We start from the raw sequence: 23,585 nt of genomic DNA, 5'->3' as shown, positions 1-23,585 counted from the left end.
GCTCTTGTTGCCCAGGCATGATCTTGGCTCACCGCAACCTCTGCCTGTCGGGTTCAAATGATTCTCCCACCTCAGCTTCCCAACTAGCTAGGATTACAGGCATGTGCCACCACGCCTGGCTAATTTTGTATTTTTTGTAGAGACAGGGTTTCTCCATATTTGTCAGGCTGGTCTCGAACTTCCCACCTCAGTTGATCTGCCCACCTCGGCCTCCCAAAATGCTGGGATTACAGGCATAAGCCCCTGCGCCCGGCCAGGTGTGTGTGTGTGTGTGTGTGTGTGTGTGTGTGTGTGTGTGTGTATTTTGTTTGTTTGTTTTTGTTTTGTTTTTGTTTTTGAGACAGAGTCTCGCTCTGTCACCCAGGCTGGAGTGCAGTGGAGCGATCTTGGCTCACCGCAAGCTCCGCCTCCCGGGTTCACACTATTCTCCTGCCTCAGCCTCCCAGGTAGCTGGGACTACAGGCGCCCACCATCACGCCTGGCTAATTTTTTGTATTTTTAGTGGAGACGGGGTTTCACCCAGTTAGCCAAGATGGTCTCGATCTCCTGACCTCGTGATCCGCCCGCCTCGGCCTCCCAAAGTGCTGGGATTACAGGCATGAGCCACCGCGCCCGGCCCCAAGTGTATATTTTTATAAGAAGAAAACACGTGACCTGTTTCCATTTGGCATAGGTTTGGCTGGAGCTGGGGCTCCTTGTGTTGGGGGGCAGAGCGACTGGGCATGAAGGTTTGCAGGGTCCAGGGGAGCAGTCTGGTGAGGCCCGGGGTGGCCTGTGGCCCTGAAGTTGTGTTTCCAGTCTGCTCTGGGTCAGATCTGAGGGTTCTCTGTCTGCCTCGAGCTCCCCATCTCCCCAAGGTCTGATATGGAGTCCCCAGGCTTTTGGGGAAGGCTGCTGAGTTTGAGGAGAGGGGAACCATGGGACAGGGTGGATGGGGACTCTGGGAGCAATGCCAGGGAGTCCCCACACCTCTAGACATGTCTCTGGTTGTGCTTTCAGGTGACCTCAAAGCAGAAGCTCTGAATTCACCTCTCATCTGACGACTGACAGCTGCTGCCACCGCCAGCCTCTGTCCCTTGCCCAGGCCTGTCACACGGCTGCCTCTCAGCAGGTAAGGAGAGTGACTTACCCTGTGTAGGGGCAGGAGGACAGCAGGTGTCTTCGCCAGGAGCATGTGTGTGGGCTGGGGTGAGACTCAGTTCTCAGGATCCTTGATGGTGGCCAGGTCCTCACAGCATCACTTTCTTCTAGCAATCATCACTGTCCTGTCCCCTTCTCCCACCCTCCACGGCAGACACGGGGCCCTTAGAAACCTTTTGCCACCTCCTGTTATCCCCTATGTGAATGGATGTGCACCTGTTGGGGGAGCAGGGGAGGAGAACTGAGCCATCCCCGAGGGCTGCTGGGCCTTGGCTGGGGAACCGTGCTGTGTGCTTCCCTGTGGGAAAAGAGATGCTATTGCAGTGAGCTTCCTTGTTCAGCAAGGATGAAAGGAGGTCCACCACTCACTTCCTCCCCACTCGCAGTTTAAGCTGCTGGGTCCCTTCAGGCTCAGGGATAGCTGTGAGAGGTGACAGCGTGCTGGCAACCCTCACAGCCCTTGCTCGCTCTCGGCGCCTCCTCTGCCTGGGCTCCCACTTTGGCAGCACTTGAGGAGCCCTTCAGCCCTCTGCTGCACTGTGGGAGCCCCTTCCTGGGCTGGCCAAGGCGGGAGCTGGCTCCCTCAGCTTGCAGGGAGGTGTGGAGGGAGAGGCACGGGCGGGAACTGGGGCTGCGCACGGTGCTTGCGGACCAGCGTGAGTTCTGGGTGGGCGTGGGTTTAGCGGCCCCGCACTGGGAGCGGCCGGCCCGCAAGCCCCGGGCAGTGAGGGGCTTAGCACCTGGGCCAGCAGCTGCTGTGCTCAACTTCTCACCAGGCCTTAGCTGCCTCCCTGCGGGGCAGGGCTCGGGACCTGCAGCCCACCATGCCTGAGCCTCCCCACCACCATGGGCTCCTGCACGGCCTGAGCCTCCTGGACAATCACCGCCCCCTGCTCCATGGCACCCAGTCCCATGGACCACCCAAGGGCTGAGGAGTGTGGGCGCATGGCATGGGACTGGCAGGCAGCTCCACCTGTGGCCCCAGATGGGATCCACTAGGTGAAGCCAGCTGGGCTCCTGAGTCTGGTGGGGACTTGGAGAAACTTTATGTCTAGCTAAGGGATTGTAAATACACCAATCGGCACTCTGTATCTAGCTCAAGGTTTGTAAGCACACCAATCAGCACCCTGTGTCTAGCTCAGGGTTTGCAGGGTTTGTGAATGCATCAATCGACACTCTGTATCTAGCTACGCTGGTGGGGACTTGGAGAACCTTTGTGTGGACACTCTGTATCTAGCTAATCTAGTGGGGACGTGGAGAACTTTTGTGTCTAGCTCAGGGATTGTAAACGCACCAATCAGCACCCTGTCAAAACGGACCAATCAGCTCTCTGTAAAACAGACCAATCAGCTCTCTGTAAAATGGACCATTCAGCAGGATGTAGGTGGGGCCAGATTAGAGAATAAAAGCAGGCTGCCCGCGCCAGCTGGGGTAATCTGCTTGGGTCCCCATGCACGCTGTGCAGGCTTTGTTCTTTTGCTCTTTGCAACAAATTCTGCTGCTGCTCACTCTGGGCCCCCACTGCCTTTATGAGCTGTAACACTCACCACGAAGGTCTGCGGCTTCACTCCTGAAGCCAGCGAGACCACAAACCCACTGGGAGGAAGGAACAACTCCAGACGCGCCGCCTTAAGAGCTGTAACACTCACCGTGAAGCTCTGCAGCTTCACTCCTGAGCCAGCGAGACCATGAACCCACCAGAAGTAAGAAACTCCAAACATATCCGAACATCAGCAGTAGCAAACTCCGGACACGCCGCCTTTAAGAATTGAGAATTGTAACACTCACGGCGCGGGTCCGCAGCTTCATTCTTGAAGTTGGTGAGACCAAGAACCCACCAATTCCGGACCCAGCTGTCTTTTGGGCATTGTCCGGAAGGCCGGCTGTAGTATTCTGCCTACAGATACTTGTCAAGTGCTCATGGACAGAAGTCGTAGTTGGGGAGGATGGCTGCAAAGGCACAATGACATTTGGCTTCCAGAAATTCTAAGTACTGTGCCGTGAGTCAGGTCAGGTCAGAAGCACTGGGGATGGAACCGCCTTGCATTGGTCTCCCAGCCCCAACTTTGTATTTACTGAGTTGTGTGCTGCAAGATGCAGCCCATCAGAATTTTACAGAGCATGGTCGGATGCAGGCACTCATGCCTGAATTCCAGCAATTTGGGAGGCCAAGACGGGTGGATGACCTGAGGTCAGGAGTTCAAGATCAGCCTGGCCAACATGGTGAAACCCCATCTCTACTAAAAATACAAAAATTAGCTGGGCATAGTGGTACGCACCTGTAATCCCAACTACTCAGGAGGCTGAGGCAGAAGAATTGCTTGAACCTGGGAGGTGGATGTTGCAGTGAGCAGAGATTGCACCACTGCACTCCAAGCCTGGGTAAAAGAGCAAGACTCCATCTCAAAAAAAAAAAAAAAAAATGTTACAGAGCAAACCGGGGTCTGCTTGCCCAGCGTGGTAAGACCAGATATCCACACCGAGGTGTTGCAGTGGAAGAAAGGAGGGTGTTTAATTGCTGGGCACCAAGCAAGGAGGACCCGGCGGCTCATGCTCAAATCCTGACCAGTAGCTTGCAGGTAAGGGTTTTTAAAGTCGGAGGTACATTTCAGGAAAGAAGTTACAGGTAAGATTGTAAAATCGACACATGGCGGTTGCACAGTGGTTTTGACCGAAAAGGGCGGCTATCTTCAAGCCAGGGGTTACAGGTCGTGGATGGATTTAAAGATCTTCTGATTTGCAATCACTTAAGGAAAAGAAGCTTTGTTTAAAATGTTGGGGTCGGCAAAAAAAATGTTAGCTCTGGCTTGTGGGCAGGACTCCCTCCAGGACCCTCAGGAAGAAATTTATTTATTTATTTAGAGATAAGAGTCTCATTCTGTCACCCAGGCTGGAGTGCAGTGGTGTGATCTTGGCTCACTGCAACCTGTGCCTCACAGGTTCAAGCAATTCTCCTGCCTCAGCTTCCTGAGTAGCTGGGATTACAGGCACGTGCCACCATGCCTGGCTAATCTTTTTTGTATTTTTAGTAAAGACGGGGTTTCACCATGTTGGCCAGGCTGGCCTCGAACTCCTGATCTCAAGTGATCCACCTGCCTCGGCCTCCCAAAGTGCTGGGATTACAAGTGTGAGTCACTGTACCCGGCCCAGGAAGAAATTTAGAACCAAAAGCAGCAGTCAGAGTTGAGTCCTCAGTTCCCCCTCATCTGAGGTCTCTGTGCCAGCTGATTCATTCCGTAGGGGGCCGGGTTTCTGAAAAACAACTCAGAGACATATGTTAAGATGTTATCTTTAGTTTCTATAGGGAAACCAAACATCTCGTAATTCTAGCTTCCTTGGCTATTGTTTTAAGCTACTATTACCTTCTTGCTTATCAAGTCACTTATTTACTTCTCAGGGCTAACTTGGTGCTAGCTTGGAATTTCCCTTGAAGGAACTCAAGATTTTCCTTTATTTCCCTGCTGGGGGTCCCACAGACCCGTACAACGGGTTCTCTGCTGCATCTCAAGAAACCCCCGGTGCGACCTATGTGCATGAGCACATTCCTGTATACCTGGGAAGAAAGAGCTGTGTGAGCACGTGGCCCCAGGTGCCACCCCTAAGCAAATGGTCCCTTTTCCCCCTTGCCTCATCTTCTGGAAAGCCGAGAGCCCAGTCAGTGTTGCCGGTAGCCAGTGTGCGTGTGGAGATTTGTTGCAGCTCCTCTCTGTTCCTACTTCCATTTTTCTTCTTGGGTCCAGGTGGGATGTGCAGACGCATGAATGTCTGTGCAGGGAGGCATACCTGAGTCCCCATGGAAGTACATATAGCATCCAGACAGTCTCAGAAAGGCAGGGGCGTTATTCAGGTGGAGCCTAAAGGGTACCTGGCCAGGTAGGGGAAGCAGGACCTCCGAAACCTTCTTATAGGGCTCTATCTTCAAAGCATGTGGTTGTCTTCAGCACCATTGGCAAAAGCCATTACCTTCTCCCCCACCAGGGATTTCCTGCTTTTTTTGCCCACCTCAGGGAAGGGGCTCCCTCCTGACACCTCACTCCCAGGTTAAGCAAGGTTAGGATCACCCAGGGGATGAGTCTGTTCCAGGAGAGCAGGACAGACCAAGTGTGGGGGATGAAATCCTAAGCGCCACTAGGCCAAGGTGGGTAATGAGCCAGGAGCAGTGGCGGAGCAGTGCTTCCTTCCACTCCTGCTGAGGAGCGCTGGGAAATTATGTTACCTAACCTCCTTGAATATATTTCCTTATCTGAAAAATAAGAGGATTGGAACCGGACCTCCATGTTCCCCTGCAATACCAACAGTCAGTGATTCAGAGCCTTGCTACTCAAAGTGTGGTCCGTGGACCAGCAGCCTCACGAAGCTCGTTAGAAGCGCAGGATCTCGGCCCCTACCCCAGAGCCACTCGATCAAAATCTGCATTTTAAAATCCTCAGGTGATTCATATGCACGTTAAAATTCAAAAAGGACTAGTTGAGACAGCCCCTAAGGTACATGAGACATCCTATGCGTCCCATGCAAGGTAATTTGGACACTAAGGAATCACGAAGTAGAAGTGGCTCACAGCCAGCAGTGGTGCTCTCCTTTGGTACGGGCCAGAATCAGCCTGGGAGATTGTAAAATACGGACGTCCAGGTGTGCAGGGCCACAGTGCTGGGAGAAGCCAGAGCAGCCCCTTGGAGAGAGAAAACACAAACACGCACACATGAAATCGCTTAAGGATCACTCTGGGCAACAAGGGTGACTGTCCTAGACACAGAATCAGGGTGAGCCGAGGGCAGCAGAGCAGAGACCGTGGAGCAGGCCTGTTTACCCAGTGCTCCCGAAAGACGGCTTTTCATCCTTACATTAGAATCTCTTCCTTTAGTTACTGAGGGGCCTCTCAGGGGAATCTGTGGTTACCTCTCCACCTTCTTTTTTTTTCCAGACAGTCTCACTCTGTCACCCAGGCTGGAGTGCAGTGGCGCAATCTCGGCTCACTGCAATCTCTGCCTTCCAGGTTCAAGCAATTCTCCTGTCTCAGCCTCCCAAGTAGCTGGGACTACAGGCACCCACCACCATGCCTGGCTAATTTTTGTATTTTTAGTAAAGAGGGGATTTCACCATATTGGTCAGGCTGGTCTCAAACTCCTAACCTCAGGTGATCCACCCACCTCGGCCTCCCAAAGTGCTGGAATTACAGGCATGAGCCACCACACCCAGCCTCTCCACCTTCTTAAGCAAGAATGCAGAAGATTGCAGGGAGGGAAGACTGTTGATGTTGTTGCTTGTTTTAAGATGGTCAGGTGCAGATTGCATAAATATATTTGCATATTCTGAGGAGGAAAAGCGCCAGAGACGTGGACATTACAGGATGGAGGGGTGAGTGTAGGGCAGATCCCTTGGGGAGGGGAGCGGTCTACTGACCTGTGAAGTGTTAGCCTTGGCTGAGAAGATGCCTTCAGCTGCAAGTGACAGATGACCCAACAAATATGGCCTGAACCATGAGGAGTACATTATCTCATTTCAAGGATCAGGAATAGACTTCCAAGGACCCACCCAGCTCAAGGATCCAGGTCATTTTCTCCACTAGACTAGTGACCGTGTCCTTGGTTGATTCCCCAGTGGTTTTATGGCTCTGGCAGCTGCAAACACAACTCAAGGTGGCCAAAGACAGAGCTTTCTCCCCTTGTCCCTCCGTCGGGGAGGAAAACCCTCCCTATGAGTCCCTGCAGATTTCCCCTGATGTCCCATTGAGGAGGACAAGGTCACGTTGTCAGGTTCACAACTATACCAAATGCCCTGCTTGGGGTCAGGTTCCAGCCCATGCTGAGGTTCGAGGGGAGTGGGCGGATGGGCAGGTAGCTGAAGGAACACTCGTGGGGCCATAAGCAGGTGAAATGTAGTTTTACTCAACAGGTCTCTCAGCAGCTGACTCATACCAGCTCTCTCACACTGTCCGCCTTGACTCAGCTGTCTGCTCTGGCTTTGTGGCTCCTCTCAGCAGCCAGCTCCCACACATAGCTGCATGGCCGACTCTCCCCTGCCTTCGGGGTCAGCAGCTTAACTCTTTCTCTCTCTGGGCACGAGCTGAACTGTGCTGTGCCCTGGCTCCCCCTGTCTACCTGCAAAATGGACAGCTTTGGCTCTTTCTCTGGGCGCCAGCATGCCTGTACAGTGTCAGCAGGGCAATAATAGCTTTTACAAACAACAGTGGCTTAGAGCCAAATGATGAGCCTTCCGATGTTATGGCTATATGGCTGTGATGACAAGTGGAGTTATACGCCTGCGCTCTAAACTTGCTGAGTCACTCTGGATGTTTACCTCAGCCTATCCTTGACCAAAGCACAGCCATGTTCCTGACACGCGTGCTCTGGCCTTACAGCAAGGGAGGCAAGAAAGTGAGTCTGCCATTGTCAGCCCCTGGGGAGGAAGGAGGGCCCTGCCGGCAGGGCAGCAAGTCGGGAGCAGCTGTGGGTGGTGTCCTACAGGCTCTGCTGTGGAGGAAGAGCTGCTGCCCTGAGTGGAGGCAAGGATGGATGTGGGTGTGGAGTGGAGTAGGTGGGGTGGGGAACATTAAGGAGGGTTCTCTGCTAATGGCCATTCTGTGTAGACAGAGGGGCTGAGGTCCTCTGCTGAGGAGGAAAGGTCAGAGGTGATGAGGAAGTGATGAAGACTGGAAGAAGAGGATGAAGGGAGGGGGAGATGATTTGGGGCAAGGAGTCCTATTGCCAGGTAGCTCTGAGGGCCTCGCAGAGGCTGGATTGTGGATGTCTGATGGGCAGAGTTTAGTGGGGGGGGTCTCTCCAGCAGCGCTGAGCAGCCCCTTCGTGAGTGTGGAGAGGGGAGGAGTTGGGTCCATACCGAAGCAGGTTTTAGGGACAGAGGAAAGGGCCAGAGAAGCAGACGGCTCTTGGGAGACAGTGGTGGTAGTTGGGTCATGCTGTTGAGGCTAAGTATGGAGCCAGGGGAGGAGGAAGCAGCAGAGAAGGGGCTGAGGGAGAAGCTGGGGTCGGAGAGCACAGCCCCCGCTGGGGGCCAGGTCCAGGGGCCTCGGCTGTGGGTGGCAGACATGGGCTGGAGAGTGGACGCACATGGAGGGCCTGAGAGGGAGGCCATGGAGGGATGGAACCCCCAGAGGGTCACCCACCCGCTTATTTTATCTCCAGCGCACAACAAGGAAAGCACAGTGCGCTGGTGGGACCTTCCCACAGGAAGCCTCCAGCCAGAACTCTCCTCTGCGGAGAGGGTAGGGCATGTGGAAAACGAGCCCTTCTTTTGAACAGCGGAAGAATGAGGAAGGGCTGAGGGATCAGGGCCGTCTGAACAGCGCCTGGGAGGGAGAGAGGTGGGCGCAGCTGCAGGGGCCTGACGGGACTGAGAGTCGGCTCTGCTGCTTTCCCCGGTAACGTTAGCTGTTCCCTCCCCGCCACATGACCCACCTGTGCACATGTGCACACATCCTCAAGGACTCACACTTATACCCACACACTCACACTCCAGACACAAACACACCCCCCACACCCTCTCACACACTCCATACACTTACACACACGTTCACCCCGCATGCTCTGAGACGTGCCTGTATTCACACTCTCACCTTCACACACACACACACCCCCACCCCACACTCTCCCACACTCACCCTCACCCCCACCCTGAACCCTGACCCACACCCACACACACCCTCACACACAGACACCCAACACTCGCACACATACCCCACAGTCACACACACACCCAACACCCTCCCACACTCACACTCCACCCCACATTCACACACCCCACCCCATGCCCTCCCACACTCACACTCACCGCCACCCCACACCCTCCCACATTCACAACCCCAACCCACACCCTGACACACACCCACAACACACCCACCTCACATTCACACACCCCCACCCCCCATCCACACTCTCACACTCACCCCCCACCCTGTACCCTCACACACGCTCACCCACCCTCACACACACACCCCCACCCCTCACCCTCATACATGCTCACACACGTGCTCACACACACACTCACACACACCCCACCCCTGACCCTCATACATGCTCTCACACTCTCACACACACACACCCCTCACCCTCACACACACCCCAACCCACACCTTCACACACACTCACATACACTGTCATCACACACACCCCACCTCACACACTCACACTCACCCACACCCTCACACATACTTTCTGTCACACACACTCACCCCCACACACTCTCACACGCTCACCCCCACCCCACACTTTCACACACTCCTACTCACCACAGACTCCCTCACACACAGTGCAGAGCCCTCCCCTCCTCCCTTTGCCCTGCTCCATGTCCTCTTGGCTTCACCCCTGCTGATCCCAAACTCTACCTCCTCCTCCCCTGAACCTCCCCCAACTCCTAAATGCCCAAGTCAAAGACAAGGGGCGAGAGGGATGGAGTCTAGAATGGGGAGAGCAGGATCAAGATTTGAAGGCAGTCACTGTAGGGTCTGTAGTAGGCTGTTTTGTGTTGCTGTAAAGGAATACTTGATACTGGGTAATTTCTAAAGGAAAGAGGTTTAATTGGCTTATGGTCCTGCAGGTGGTACAGGAAGCATGGCAGCCAGCATCTGTTCCTGGTGAGGCCTCAGGAAGCTTCCACTCATGCAGAAGGTGAAGGGGGAGCCATACTATCACACAGCAAGAGTGGGAGCAAGAGAGACAGCAGGAAGGCGACACACACTTTTAAACAACCAGGTCTTGGATGAACTCAGAGTGACTTTCACTTATCACCAAAGGGTGGCGCTGAGCCCTTCCTGACTGATCTGGCCCCGTGATCCAGTACCTCCCACCAGGACCCACCTCCCACATTGGGAATCGCATTTCGTCATGAGATTTGGAGGGAACAAACATCCAAATCACATCAGAGTCCTTTTTTCATTGCATCAGCTGGGAAGGGTTGGGAACTAGACTGTGTCTCCTCCCTCATTTTGTGTAGACACACAGCAACGCAGACACACATCAGCACACACACACACACGGAGAGATGGCCACACACAGACTGGCACAAGGCCTGCACGAGCAGGCACGTGGGCACATACAGACACACCCAAGGACACACCAACACATGTGCAGGAACGCGTGCACAGTTCTGCTGAGTGGGGGATGAAGGGGATGTTCCTTGGATTTCAAAGCTCCCAACTTGTCGTGATTCTCCTTCCCTTGTTGTTGAGTTAAAGTTCCAAACTAAGATAAGGACACACATCTATTAAACTCTGATTTGGGTGGCTGATCTGTCTTCTAACGAGAATATTTTACTTTTCAAAAACTGCCTTTGGACAAATGTAGTTGCCATTATGCCTTTCTGGGCCAGAGAATTAGTTCATATGTGATTAAAACCCACAGAGAGAGTGGGTCCCATACACTAACCTACTGGCCAAATAGAAAATTTCTTAAAAATTCTAAATGTTTTGTATGAAGCAAGTATAACATTGATATTTAAACCAGATGAAGGTAGCATTAAATGACTTAATTTATTACTTAAGAATAGTACTGAATTCCAAAATTACTTAAGAATCTTGATGCAAAAATTATCAGAATGTTACCTTATAGAATTTGGTAATATATCACAAAAGTAAATATGCATTTACCTTTGACCCAGTAATTCCAGAAATGTACCTTGAAGACACACCCCCACAATAATATGAGAATATAGATGTAAATGCCCGTAAATATATGGATTGAAAAATATACAGTATATCCACACAGTGGAGTACTGTAGTATGTAGTTCTAAGAAAGAATGAGTATGATCTTTTTTGCATATCAGTGAACTAATATGTGGTGCTTTCTAAAATGTATTGCTAAATATAAAAACAAAGTTCAAAAGCACACACACGTTATCTTTTTGTGTAAGAAAGAAGGAGAAATGAGAAAACATATATGTAACTGCTTACTTTCTAAGAAAATAAACACAGGACCAGCCTGGGAAACATAGCAAAAAAAAATTTTTTAATTAGCCAGGCATGGCGGCACACACCTGTAGTCTCAGCTACTCAGGAGGCTGAGGCAGGAGGATCGCTTGAGCCCAGGAGTTTGAGGCTGCAGTGAGCTGTGATTGCACCACTGCATTACAGCTTGGATGACAGAGACCCTATCTCAAAAAGAAGGAAGGAAGGAAGAAGGGAAGGGGAAGGAAAGGAAAGGAAAGGAAAAGGAAAAAGAAGCATAGGAAAGAATAGTCTGGAGTCCAACGTGATGGGAAGGAAGGAAGACCAGAGGGAGGGAGGAAGGGAAGGAGGGAGGGAAGGAAGGAAGGAGAAAAAAGAAGCATAGGAAAGAATAGACTGGAGTCCAGTGTGATTGGTTGCCCATAGGAGGTAGGTGGGAGGGGAGAAAAGGATTGGAATGGGCAGTGAAAGTGACACCTGTGTGAATATCAATTTGCATCATTTTAACTTTGAAAGTATGGTTGCTGCTTTACATACTCAATTAAATTAATACAATAAAGTCCAACAGTTGTGAGGTGGGAAAAAAACCTAAAACTGAAATAAAATATAAACAGAAGCAGACGAATAATAGATGGTGGCCAGGGCCTCTTCCCACCTCATCTGTACCTTTGGGAGCCAGTGTCACTTGTGTTTCTGCTCTCAGTGACCTGTCCCCAGCTCTCAGGCTTTAGTTTTAGGCTTCCTTTGAAGCAGATTCTCATTAGACGGGGCAATTGCAATTGTGATGTGTGTAGCACATGCTTTCTGTGAAACAGGTAGCACTACACTGGTCTTAGTCACGGGGCATCAATGTGTGTAGGGTTAGGGAGAATTTCTTCTGCCTCCCTCTAGAAAATAAATCTATGCTTGGGATAGGGAAGAAAGAGAGAGAGAGTGTGTGTTTGTGCGTGTGTTTATTGTTGAAAACAAACTCTCAACACAAAGTCTGTAAACTTTTTGGAAGGACAACAAATTAAAATTAATAAAGCAATTTTATTCATTAGAAATGTGTGTTATGAGCCATAGATTGTTAGGAGAGGCCATTTGAGACACTCGGCTAGGCTTCAAAGCTTTGAGTTTGAGTTCTGGATCCACAAATGTTGGCTGTAGGATCTTTGGCTATTGGTTTAATTTCTCTGATTTTTGCACTTTCTTCCTTTGCAAAATAGAAATTAATATTGTCCCACCAACTGTATGGGCTGCTAGAGCAATGAATGAGCAAACGTGTGTGAAAGTGAATGATGACTCAAAGCACTATACGAATGTCCAAGCATTACTTATGGTCGTGGTGGTGATGGTGGTGGCAGTGGTGGGGGTGATGGAAAAGTCATTCTGGAACCTTCTGTTCTCTTCTCACTGTCCCCGGGACTGAGAAAGTTTTTCCAAACAAAAGCATCATGTCTTGCTCCTCTTACTCGAATGAGGCATTCCTTTCTCTTATCCCAGGAGGGTTTTCTACCAAATGCTGTCCATGCTCCCAGATGCTCCCTGGCTTGGACAGAGAAGCTGTAGGTGGTGGGAGGTGGGGTTCCCCTACCCTTGGAAGAGCAGCTCTTCTAACCCTTTTACTTTGGTTACTTCTAGGGGCAGTAGAATGAAAGAGGGCATGTCTAATAACAGCACCACTAGCATCTCCCAAGCCAGGAAAGCTGTGGAGCAGCTAAAGATGGAAGCCTGTATGGACAGGGTCAAGGTAAGCATGCATGCGTCAGCCCCACCCTCCGCCCGAAGCTCAGCTCAAAACATTCCTCCTGCTTCCAAAGCAGACTTGTGAGAGTTAACACGTCACCCAGCAGAGCATGCAGCCAACCTTGGCAGCTGTAACATTTACAAATGAGTGTTTGCTTCACAGTTCTAAGTGTGCCCAAGGATTCAAAGGATGCAAAATACACAGTGTGCATGAATTCCATAAGGAGTCTCCAAAAATAGACTCATAATTCATCTCGGCTCTATTTAGCTCCGTTGTCATGCCAATAAGCAAGAAAGAGAGTTTAGCAATGAGATCAATCACTTTTCTGCTGTGATACAGTGCCTTTGAGGTTCAACAACATCGGATATTTTGACAGGATTATTGTTGAGGGTGGAGCTCTGAACCATGCCTGGGTGTGTCAAATATTCCTTTGGTGAAAATGAAGAAAGGTTCCAGACACCTCCCGTTGTATTCATTTCACTGATGAGTGCAGGTCTCTCCACGCTGGGAGGACTGCAGCAAGATGAAGCCACCTCTTCTCCAGATGCCACTCAGAGGTGAGCAGAAGGCCAGGCAAAGCATGTGGCTCTGAACGAGTCCGTGAGCATGACGCTCGTTGACTGTAATAGAGTTGAAAGGAACCCCAACTCTGGTGTCGGGAACCTGATGCCAGGAAGCTCCATGTGTCTGTGGTCTTGGGGAACACAAATCAGAGGTCTCACCTGGGCATCTGGGATTCAAAAAACACAGAATCCATGGCAACGGGCGACTCCTGAAGCCTTCTATGGACAGAGCCTCCCTGACCCCTCCCCTCATGCTAGTGTATGGCTAGAAAGCACCAATACTCACCTCTGTGTGGACAGTTATTCTTTTCCCCTGGAGCTCTGGGGGTACAACCTCTCCAAGGAGGCAGAAAATATGCACGGAAAGTTACATGAGGGTATATGAAGCAAGGAAGGAATCCAGCGTGATGTAAGTCAGTATCACCGGACCCATGTTACTAGAGCATCTACATCTCATACATACCGATACCAACTGCAAATTACATGTCAGTCCTTGGTCTCTAGACTAGAGGAGGGAGCAAGTTTAGAACCCAGAAAACAATTCTAAGACACAGCGGGTCCCAATAGCATAGAAAGGGGTTTCAAATGAAAGCTGCAGGCATCCCGTGCTCCAGAAGTGCAGACAGGAAAAAGGATGAGGACTGCAGTGAAAGGCATTGCTGAGCACCTAATCTATACTTGAAGGGTCCTGGGAGAGAAATGTGAAGGCGACAGTCTCCTCCGTATGGCTCAGGGAAGACTTCTCAGAGTTGTGAGCTATGGCTGGCTCTGAGCTGATAGTGGAGGAGGAAAGGCCGGTGTGAGCTAATCACGGCTCGTGTGGAGCAGCTGGGCAGCGGGAGGAGCTGCAGGTTGTGCTGGGAAGAGAGCTATGGGAGGAGGGCGCCATGCACACAGGTGCGGAAGCCACAGCCATGAGGTGACAGGTGTGTGAGGTGAACCAACCTGTAAGCAATAGACGGAGTTGTCAGAGGTGAGGAGGTAGTTGAAGCTCTGAGTAATCAAGAGAGGCAAGGAGGGGCAGAAATCGGGTACAGTGTGGAGCAGACAGCAAAGATGCGATCGGGGAGGCAAACACACCAAGAAAATCAACAGAACATGGAGAGTAAACGTGGGAGGCACTAGGGAGAGAGACGTTAGAATCCAGCTGTCAAGCCCCATGGCCAGAGACCTGAAAAGACAGTGGGCCCCAGTTTGGGCTATAAGGCAGTTCTCCTTTGCCCAGGCGTTCTCTTCTGGCAAGGAAGATAAATTCTGCAATAGCATCTTCACCTGCCACAGACACCGCCCCAGGAGCCCCTGTGAGGACCGGGTGTCTTCAAGAATGAAGGCTTCTTCAAGAGTCACTTAGGCACACACACTGTCACTAAAAGAAAGAGGAAAGTCAAAGACAAATGAGTTACTGTAGGAGTTCATTCTCACATTGCTGTAAAGAAATCCCTGGGACTGGGTCATTTATAAAGAGATTTAATTGGCCTGTGGTTCCACAGGTGGTCCAGCAAGCATGATGCCTGTATCTGCTTGGCTTCTCAGGGCGGAGGGTGCGGAGGCCTCAGGAAATTGAAAATCATGGCAGAAGGTGAAGGGTAAGCAGGCACATCTTACATAGCAGGAGAAAGAGAGAGAAGGGGGAGGCGATACACACCTTTTTTTTTTTTCTTTTTTGAGACGGAGTCTCGCTCTGTCGCCCAGGTGTGATCTCGGCTCACTGCAAGCTCCGCCTCCCGGGTTCACGCCATTCTTCTGCCTCAGCCTCCCGAGTAGCTGGGACTACAGGCGCCCACCACCACGCCCGGCTAATTTTTTGTATTTTTAGTAGAGACGGGGTTTCACCGTGTTGGTGAGGATGGTCTCAATCTCTTGACCTCGTGATCCGCCTGCCTCGGCCTCCCAAGGTGCTACACACTTTTAAACAACCAGATCTCTTGAGAACTCACTCACTATTACAACAACAGTACCAAGGGAGATGGTTTTAAACCCTTCATGAGAAACCACCCCCATGTCCAATCACTTCCCACCAGGCCCCACCTTCAACACTGGGGATTACAATTTGACGTGAGATTTGGGCAGAGACACAGATCCAAACCATATCAGTTACTCAGGTGATATTCAATCAAAGGGATAGGCAGGCCAGATGTGGTGGCTGACGCCTGTAATCCCAGCACTTTGGAAGGCCGAGGCAGGTGAATCACCTGAGGTCAGGAGTTCGAGACTAGCCTAGCCAACATGGTGAAAACCCATCTCTACTAAAAAATACAAAAATTAGCTGGGTCTGGTGACGTGTGCCTGTAATCCCAGCTACTTGGGAGGCTAAGGCAGAAGAATCACTTAAACCCAGGAGGTGGAGTTTGCAGTGAGCCAAGATTGTGCCACTGCACTTCAGCCTGGGCAACAGAGGAAGACCCCATCTCAGGAAAAAAAAAAAAAAAAAAACAAAAAACGGGATAGGCCGCCATGTTGCTGTGCTGACCATAATGGAAACGTGAAAGCAAGATTCCTCAGGGGGCCTGCCAGAGGCTAATTCAGATCCTGTGGTAATTCCAGGGAGTAGGCCAGTGACAGCTGTGTCAGATTTGGTTCAGAAACAGAGTTGGTGGAAACAGAATGTTGTCATTGAAGAGACAATGCCTGAGGAGAGAGCTGAACCTAGGAACCGCATCTGTGCCAAAGATGCGTGAGCACACATGGGTGGTTTTTGTTTTTTTCTTGCTTGGACACCCTTGAACATTAATTTTTTTAGTTGTGGTAAAATATATATAACATACAATTTATCATTTTAACCATTTTTAAATGTACAATTCATCAGTATTAGGTACATTCACAATATTGTGCAACCATCACCAGCATCCACCTCCAGAACTTTCTCATCTTCCCACACAGAAACTCTGTACCCATTCAGTGCCAACTCCCCATTCGCCCTGCCCATGCCTGGTGACCACCGTTCTACCTTTTTCCTCTGTGAATCTGACTACACTAGGTATCTCATATAAGTGGGATCATACAGTATTTATCTTTTTGTTCCTGTCTTATTTCACTTAACTTATCGTCCTTAAGATCCATCTATGTTGTAGCCTGTATCAGAACATCATTCCTTTTCAGGGCTGAGTTGTATTCCATTGCATGGATAGACCACATTTTGTTATCCATTCATCCATTGATGGACACCTGGGTTATCTCCACCTTTGGACTATTGTAAATAATGCTGTTAGGAACATGGGTGTGCAGGTATCTGTTGGAGTCTTTACTTTGGTTCCTTTGGGTACCCACAAGTGGAATTGCTGGATCATAGGGTAACTCTATGTTCAACCTTTTTACCTTTTTTTTTTTGAGAGATGGAGTCTCACTCTGTTGCCTGGGCTGGAGTGCAGTGGCATGATCTCAGCTCACTGCAACCTCTGCCTCCTGAGTTCAAGTGGTTTTCCTGCCTCAGCTTCCCAAGTAGCTGGGATCACAGGCATGAGCCACTACACCCAGCTAATTTTTGTTTTTAGTAGAGACAGGGTTTTACTATATGTTGGCCAGGCTGGTCTCGAACTCCTGACCTCAGGTAATCTGCCTGTCTCGGCCTCTCTAAGTGCTGGGATTACAGGCCTGAGCCACCATGCCCGGCCTTATGTTCAGCCTTTGGAGGAACTGTCACGCTGCTTACACAGGGGCTTCATCACGTCACGTCATCACCAGCAGTGCACAGGAATTCCCGTTTCTCCACATCCTGACCAGCACTTGTTTTCTGGGTTTTTTTTTATTAATGTATTTACTTTTTTTTTTTTATTAATGTATTTACTTTGACAAGTAAAAATTAAAGTCACTCACTATCATGACGACAGTACTGAGGGGGATGGTGTATATTTATGGTGTACAACATGAAGTTTTGACATAGGCATACATTGTGGAATGGCTAAGTCAAGCCATTTAATGTATGTATTCTCTCACATACTTAGTTTTCTGTGGTGAGAACACTTAAAACCTATTCTCTTAGCAATTTTCAAGTATACAATACATTGTTATTAATTGTAGTCACCATGATGTGCAATAAACCTCTCGAATTTATTTCTTCTAACTGAATTTTTTTTTTTTTTTTTTGAGATGGAGTCTTGCTCTGTCACCCAGGCTGGAGTGCAGTGGCATGATCTCGGCTCACTGCAACCCCTGCCTCGCGGGTTCAAGCAATTCTTCTGCCTCAGCCTCCCAAGTAGCTGGGATTACAAGTGTGCACCACCGCGTCCAGCTAATTTTTGTATTATTAGTAGAGACGGGGTTCGCCATGTTGGCCAGGCTGGTCTCAAACTCCTGGTCTCAGGTGATCCGCCTGCCTTGGCCTCCCAAAGTGCTGGGATTACAGGCCTAAGCCACCGCAGCCAGCCCTGAAACTTTGTGTCCTTTGACCAACATCTCTCTAATCTCACCACCCCACAGCCTCAGGTAGCCACCATTTTACTCTCTATTTCTATAAATTTGACTTTTTTACACTCCACATATAAGTGAGATCATGCAGTATTTGTCCAGTGCATGGCTTATTTCATTTAATATAATATCCTTCAGGGTTACCCATATTTTCTCAAGTAATAAGATTTCCTTCTTTTTTAGGGCTCAGTAGTATTCTATTGTGTAAATATACCACATTTGCTTTATCCATTCATTCGCTGATAGACACTTAGGTTGATTCCATAACTTGGCTATTTTGACTAATGCTGCAATGAACACAGAAACACAGATCTTTCTTTGACATACTGATTTCGTCTCCTCGGGTTATATACCTAGTAGTGGGATTGCTGGATCCTATGGTAGTTCTATTTTTAATTTTTGAAAAACATCCACAGTTTTCCAAAATGGCTGTACTAAATTTAATTCCCACCAATGGCATACCACGGTTCCCTTTTCTCCAAACTCAGCAACACTTGTCATCTTGTGTATTTTTGATAATTGCCATCCTAACAGGTTTGATGTGATATCTTGCTGTAGCTTTCATTTGTATTTCCCTGATGATCTAGTGATGTCTGTTTTTTTAATAATAGTCACCCTAATGAGTATGAAGCTCACACATGGTTTTCAGCCCTAGGCATCCCTGGTTTCAGGGCACAGTGTGGCTTTGCAGAAAAATCTATGTGATGCAAGACTTGAAAGAAAAAAAAAGAAAAGGTGCATCTTGGTATCAGCCAGACTATACGAATGTGGAAAGAAAGGGGAGCTGTCAAGGACACTCCCGATGACCTCGTCAAGGACCTTGAGGAGGGAAGAGAGAGGAAGTCACCAGGGAAAGGCAATGGCCTTTCTGGGATGGGTACGAGGTTACTGCCAGAGAGGAGGAAGGAAAGAGGGAGGCTGGATAGGAAATGACAGAGGGCAGCCCTGGGGAAGGAGGAGAGGAGCAGTTTTTAGAATCCACTGAACTCGCACACACCATGTCAGAAACACCAGGGCCAGATGACAACACTGAGATGGGCCGGGCGCAGTGGCTCAAGCCTGTAATCCCAGCACTTTGGGAGGCCAGGGCGGGTGGATCACGAGTTCAGGAGTTTGAGACCAGCCTGACCAACATAGTGAAACCCCATCTGTACTAAAAATAGAAAACTTAGCCGGGCGTGGTGGCACGTGCCTGTAGCCGCAGCTACTTGGGAGGCTGAGGCAGGAGAATCACTCGAACCCAGGAGGCGGAGGTTGCAGTGAGCTGAGATTGCACCATTGCACTCCAGCCTGGGTGACAGAGCAAGACTCTACCTAAAAAGAAAAAAAAAGAAAACACTGAGATGGATTTTCCAAGGAAGAGGAAAAGGCCAGGCCCATACTGACTGCATAGTGAGAATGCCTAGCAGGTGAATGTGCACACGACGATAGGGCAGGCTGCATGGGAACCAGCTGGAGGGTCCATGGTAGGAATCGTGGCAACTCCCAGGCCCACAGAGCTGGCTTCCAGGTGAGAGCACGGCAGATGGGAACCCAAAGAGGACATCCCAGGCGAGGGCAGGTACCAGCAGGAAACCAAAAGGGAGCCCCCGGGATGGCATGGTATGTAGCCAACCATAGGGCCCACCACCAGGCTCTGTAGCTTATTGTGCTCAGGAGAGTTTCTAAGGAGGAAGGAAGGAAAAGAAGGCATTTGCCGCCCAGGAAAATAAGGGGACATCTGTCACTGGGAAGAGAAAGGAAAATATAACTGCATTAAGCAGTTCTGGGGTTGCAGAAGTAAGAAAGAGTAATAGTGCCAATTCAGAGAGCTTTGCACGATTCATGGAGGAAAAACGTAGCTGAAATATTCATTATTGTCTTGAAGTTCTGCTTGTCCCCATTTGCACAAAAGCACAAGTGCAAATATAGACTTCAGTAGGGGATATAGATTGAGGCATTACACCACAAAGCCCACAGCAAGATCTTAAACCCACACACAGTGTGGTTCAGAGACCTCCTTCCTACCTCCATTCATTTAATATTTATCGAGAATCCCCTGCTACTTGGCCCTTCTCCCAAATTACCACCCCCACTCCATGTGACTCTTCATCTTGCCTAGAAGCACATCAAAGCATTTCCCAACAAAGATGTGTGTTCTTTGCAAACTCTTATCAGCAGCTAAAAACAAGTAATGTCCTCCAGGTTGTCGCAGGCATGAGGAGGATTCACCATAGAACCTGTATAGCCTCACAAAAAGCACAAAGCTTGGAAAATAATACCCAGGTTTCTAAAAAAGAAATAAAGAGCACATGAAAGATGAATTTTGGAAACTATATGGGTTCTAAGGGAAAGAATACCATCATAGCCTTATTCTTTTTCTCACCCATCAGAAGTTCAAACAATCTAAAACTCTATTAGAAAAGTACATATATGGTTGGGCGCGGTGGCTCACGCCTATAATCCCAGCACTTTAGGAGGCAGAGGCAGGCAGATCTCAAGGTCAGGAGATCGAGACCAGCCTGGCCAACATGGTGAAACCCCTCCCTACTAAAATACAAAAAAAAAATTAGCCCGGCATGGTGGCACGCGCCTGTAGTCCCAGCTACTTGGGAGGCTGAGGCAAGGGAATCGCTTGAATCCGGGACGCGGAGGTTTCAGTGAGCCCAGATCACGCCACTGCACTCCAGCCTGGCAACAGAGTGAGACTCTGTCTCAAAAAAAAAAAAAAAAAAAGTACATATATGACATTGATCATTAAATAGAGAAAATCCGACAAGCGGTTATGGCAGGTCTGAGCTGAGCAGAGTGTAAGAGGCCTCACTGGAGAAAACAGTGTCTGAAGCCAGCCTGCACAGCCACAATGCAGAGTTCAGCCACTGAGAAGGCGTTCTCCCAAGGGTGAAGTGCAGCGCTCCCAGGCAGAGTCAGGACACAGGCTCTCAGGCGGGTTCCACGCTGCCTTCCACGTGCCATCCCTCAGGGTGCCCTGATTCTCCTGCCCCACAGGAAAGGGAAATTGCTGACATTGGGTCAATCCTATGTCTGTGGCTCATGAGGCTCTGGGGTGGACAGACACCCTTGAGCAAGCCCAACTCTCAGCCAGGGACTAGAAGCAACTGATGGAATGGCCAAGGAAAACTGGCCAAGGAACATTCTGCCCAGTCTCATTTGTCCTGGGAGATAATTTCAACATCCGTGGGGTGGGTGTGCTCACAATTCCTACAAGGGCTGCCCTTAGGCTGAGATTAATTTTGTGAGCACAGGCTTTATTTGCTGAGTATTGACAGATCAATATATTGTTGGGCCTGCGTTCTATAGACTACTGAAAACATGAGTGCAGGAAGAGAGGAATTTCAGGTGATGGATGCACTAAAAGTTGAAGCCCAAGAAACGCAGGAGAACTGGCTACACATGGCCCTTGACTTACAATGGGGCTACCTCTCAATAAACCTATTATAAATTGAAAGTTCAACTTACGACATTTTCAACTTACGATGGGTTTATGCGGATGTGACCCCATGGGAAGTGGAGGAGCATACTGAATGCGTATTGCTTTCTGCCACTGTAAATTCGAAAAAATCATTCAGCCAGACCATCGTACGTCAGGGACCCTCTGTATTTAGAGTGCGATAGTGCAGAAAGATACTGACATCAAAGAAAAGAGATTGTGGCGAGGCGCAGTGGCTCATGCCTGTAACTCCACCACTTTGGGAGTCCGAGGTGGGTGGATCATTCGAGGTCAGGAGTTCGAGACTAGCCTGGCCAACGTGGTGAAATCCCATCTCTACTAAAAATACAAAAATTAGCTGGGTGTGGTGGTGTGTGCCTGTAATCCCAGCTACTCGGGAGGCTGAGGCAGGAGAATCACTGGAACCCAGGAGGTGGAGGTTGCAGTGAGCTGAGATTGCGCCACTGCATTCCAACCTGGGCAACAGCGGGAGACTCCATCTCAAAAAAGAAAAGAAAGAAAGGATTGTGTCGTGACAGATACTGGCAGTTATTAACAATCTTCCTTCATAAAAACTAAGAAAAATGTAGAGAAAACAGAAAAAGAGAAAGAGCTATTTTTTAAAAGGGTATAATTTGGTGCTTAAAAGAAAGGAGAACAAATAATCAAAAAAATAGGAAATGCAAGGACACAAAAGTTGAATTTACAAGTCTTTGAGATATTTCTCGTATATACTCTCTTTATTCCGTTGATAATTTATTTAAAACCATAAATAAATGAGAGTGGCTCGAACACATACCTAAGCATGGAGCTTACTTAAAGCGCTTCCAACAAAGAAGCAGAACATCTGGTGGGTTGAAGTGAGAATGTGAAAAAGTCATATCCTTTTCAGGGGCCTTTAATGCTTGTTTTGAAAATGATACTACTTCTCTGTTCATTAAAATGGTACTTGCTTTTTTGTTGTTGCTGTTTTTTGAGATGGAGTCTCTCTCTGTTGCCCAGGCTGGAGTGCAGTGGCGTGACCTTGGCTCACTGCAATCTCTGCCTCCTGGGTTCAAGCGATTCTCCTGCCTCAGCCTCCCGAGTAGCTGGAATTACAAGCCTGTGCCACCATGCCTGGACAATTTTTGTATTTCTAGTAGAGACGGGGTTTCACCATGTTGTCCAGGCTAGGCTTGAACTCCTGACCTCAAGTTATCCTCCCATCTTGGCCTCTCAAAGTGCTGAGATTAGGTACTTGTTTATTTTTAAAATTTTTGAAAAATGCTGACAAGTATAAAGAGGATAATTGGAATGGTCTATAACCACTACCTTTTGATGTTTTTCCATCTATATTTGTTTTACATTTATTATAAAACTGGGGCCATAATGTACACTTATTGCTTTTTTATAACCTGATATATCACTGAACAGTATATTGTGATCATATAACAAGGTCAGGAAATATTCTCCTAAAATGTCATTTTTAATATCTATTTTCCCCCGATGTACAATAATTAACCAGTCTCCTATCCTTAGACATTTCAGTTATTTCCAATTGTGAGTCTTTTTTTATTTTTCCTTTTTTTTGAGATGGAATCTCACTCTGTCACCCAGGCTGGAGTGCAGTGGCACGATCTCGGCTCACTGCAACCTCCGCCTCTCGGGTTCAAGTGATTCTCCTGCCTCGGCCTCCTGAGTAGCTGGGACTACAGGCGCCCGCCACCACACCCGGCTAATTTTTTGTATTTTTAGTAGAGACGGGGTTTCACTGTGTTACCCAGGATGGTCTCGATCTCCTGACTTCGTGATCCGCCCACCTCGGCCTCCCAAAGTGTTGGGATTACAGGTGTGAGCTACCGCACCGGGCCGTGAGTCCTATTTTTTTTTTTATCATACTTTAAGTTCTAGGGTACATGTACACAACATGCAGGTTTGTTACATATGTATACGTGTGCCATATTTGGTGTGCTGCACCCATTAACTCGTCATTTACATTAGGCATTTCTCCTAATGCTATCCCTCCCCCCTCCCCCCACCCCTTGACAGGCCCCGGTGTGTGATGTTCCCTATCCTGTGCCCAAGCGATATTGTTCAATTCCCACCTATGAGTGAGAACATGCGGCGTTTGGTTTTCTGTCCTTGCGATAGTTTGCTCAGAATGATGGTTTCCAGCTTCATCCATGTCCCTACAAAGGACATGAACTCATCCTTTTTTATGGCTGCATAGTATTCCATGGTGTATATGTGCCACATTTTCTTAATCCAGTCTATCATTGATGGACATTTGGGTTGGTTCCAAGTCTTTGCTATTGTGAATAGTGCCACAATAAACATACATGTGCATGTGTTGTGAGTCCTACTTTTAAGGAAGCACTGCAGCAAGCATACTGGTAGATAAAATTTTCATGTCTGATTATTTCTTTAAGATAAATTCCTAA

The 23,585-nt window shown here is 48.9% G+C and overlaps 1 protein-coding gene across 6 annotated transcripts in view; it reads left to right on the top strand.

Moving 5' to 3' along the window:
• The window catches only part of GNG4 (G protein subunit gamma 4), a 102,924-nt gene that overhangs the window by 54,098 nt on the left and 25,241 nt on the right, over positions 1-23,585 (top strand). For 3 of the 6 annotated variants that reach the window (NM_001098721.2, NM_001098722.2, XM_047418084.1), the window contains exons 2-3: positions 1,000-1,111; positions 12,663-12,771. In NM_001098721.2, coding sequence (NP_001092191.1) covers positions 12,673-12,771 — 99 coding nt within the window. In that variant the 5' untranslated portion in view covers positions 1,000-1,111; positions 12,663-12,672. Of the gene's footprint in view, positions 1-999; positions 1,112-3,700; positions 3,720-7,443; positions 7,515-12,662; positions 12,772-23,585 lie in introns of those variants that run through there. The other 3 variants (XM_011544167.2, XM_006711761.3, NM_004485.4) reach the window with 3 other exon arrangements.

Source organism: Homo sapiens, chromosome 1, assembly GCF_000001405.40.
Source record: "Homo sapiens chromosome 1, GRCh38.p14 Primary Assembly".
Classification (NCBI taxonomy): domain Eukaryota; kingdom Metazoa; phylum Chordata; class Mammalia; order Primates; family Hominidae; genus Homo; species Homo sapiens.
This window is presented reverse-complemented; position numbering and strand designations above follow the sequence as displayed.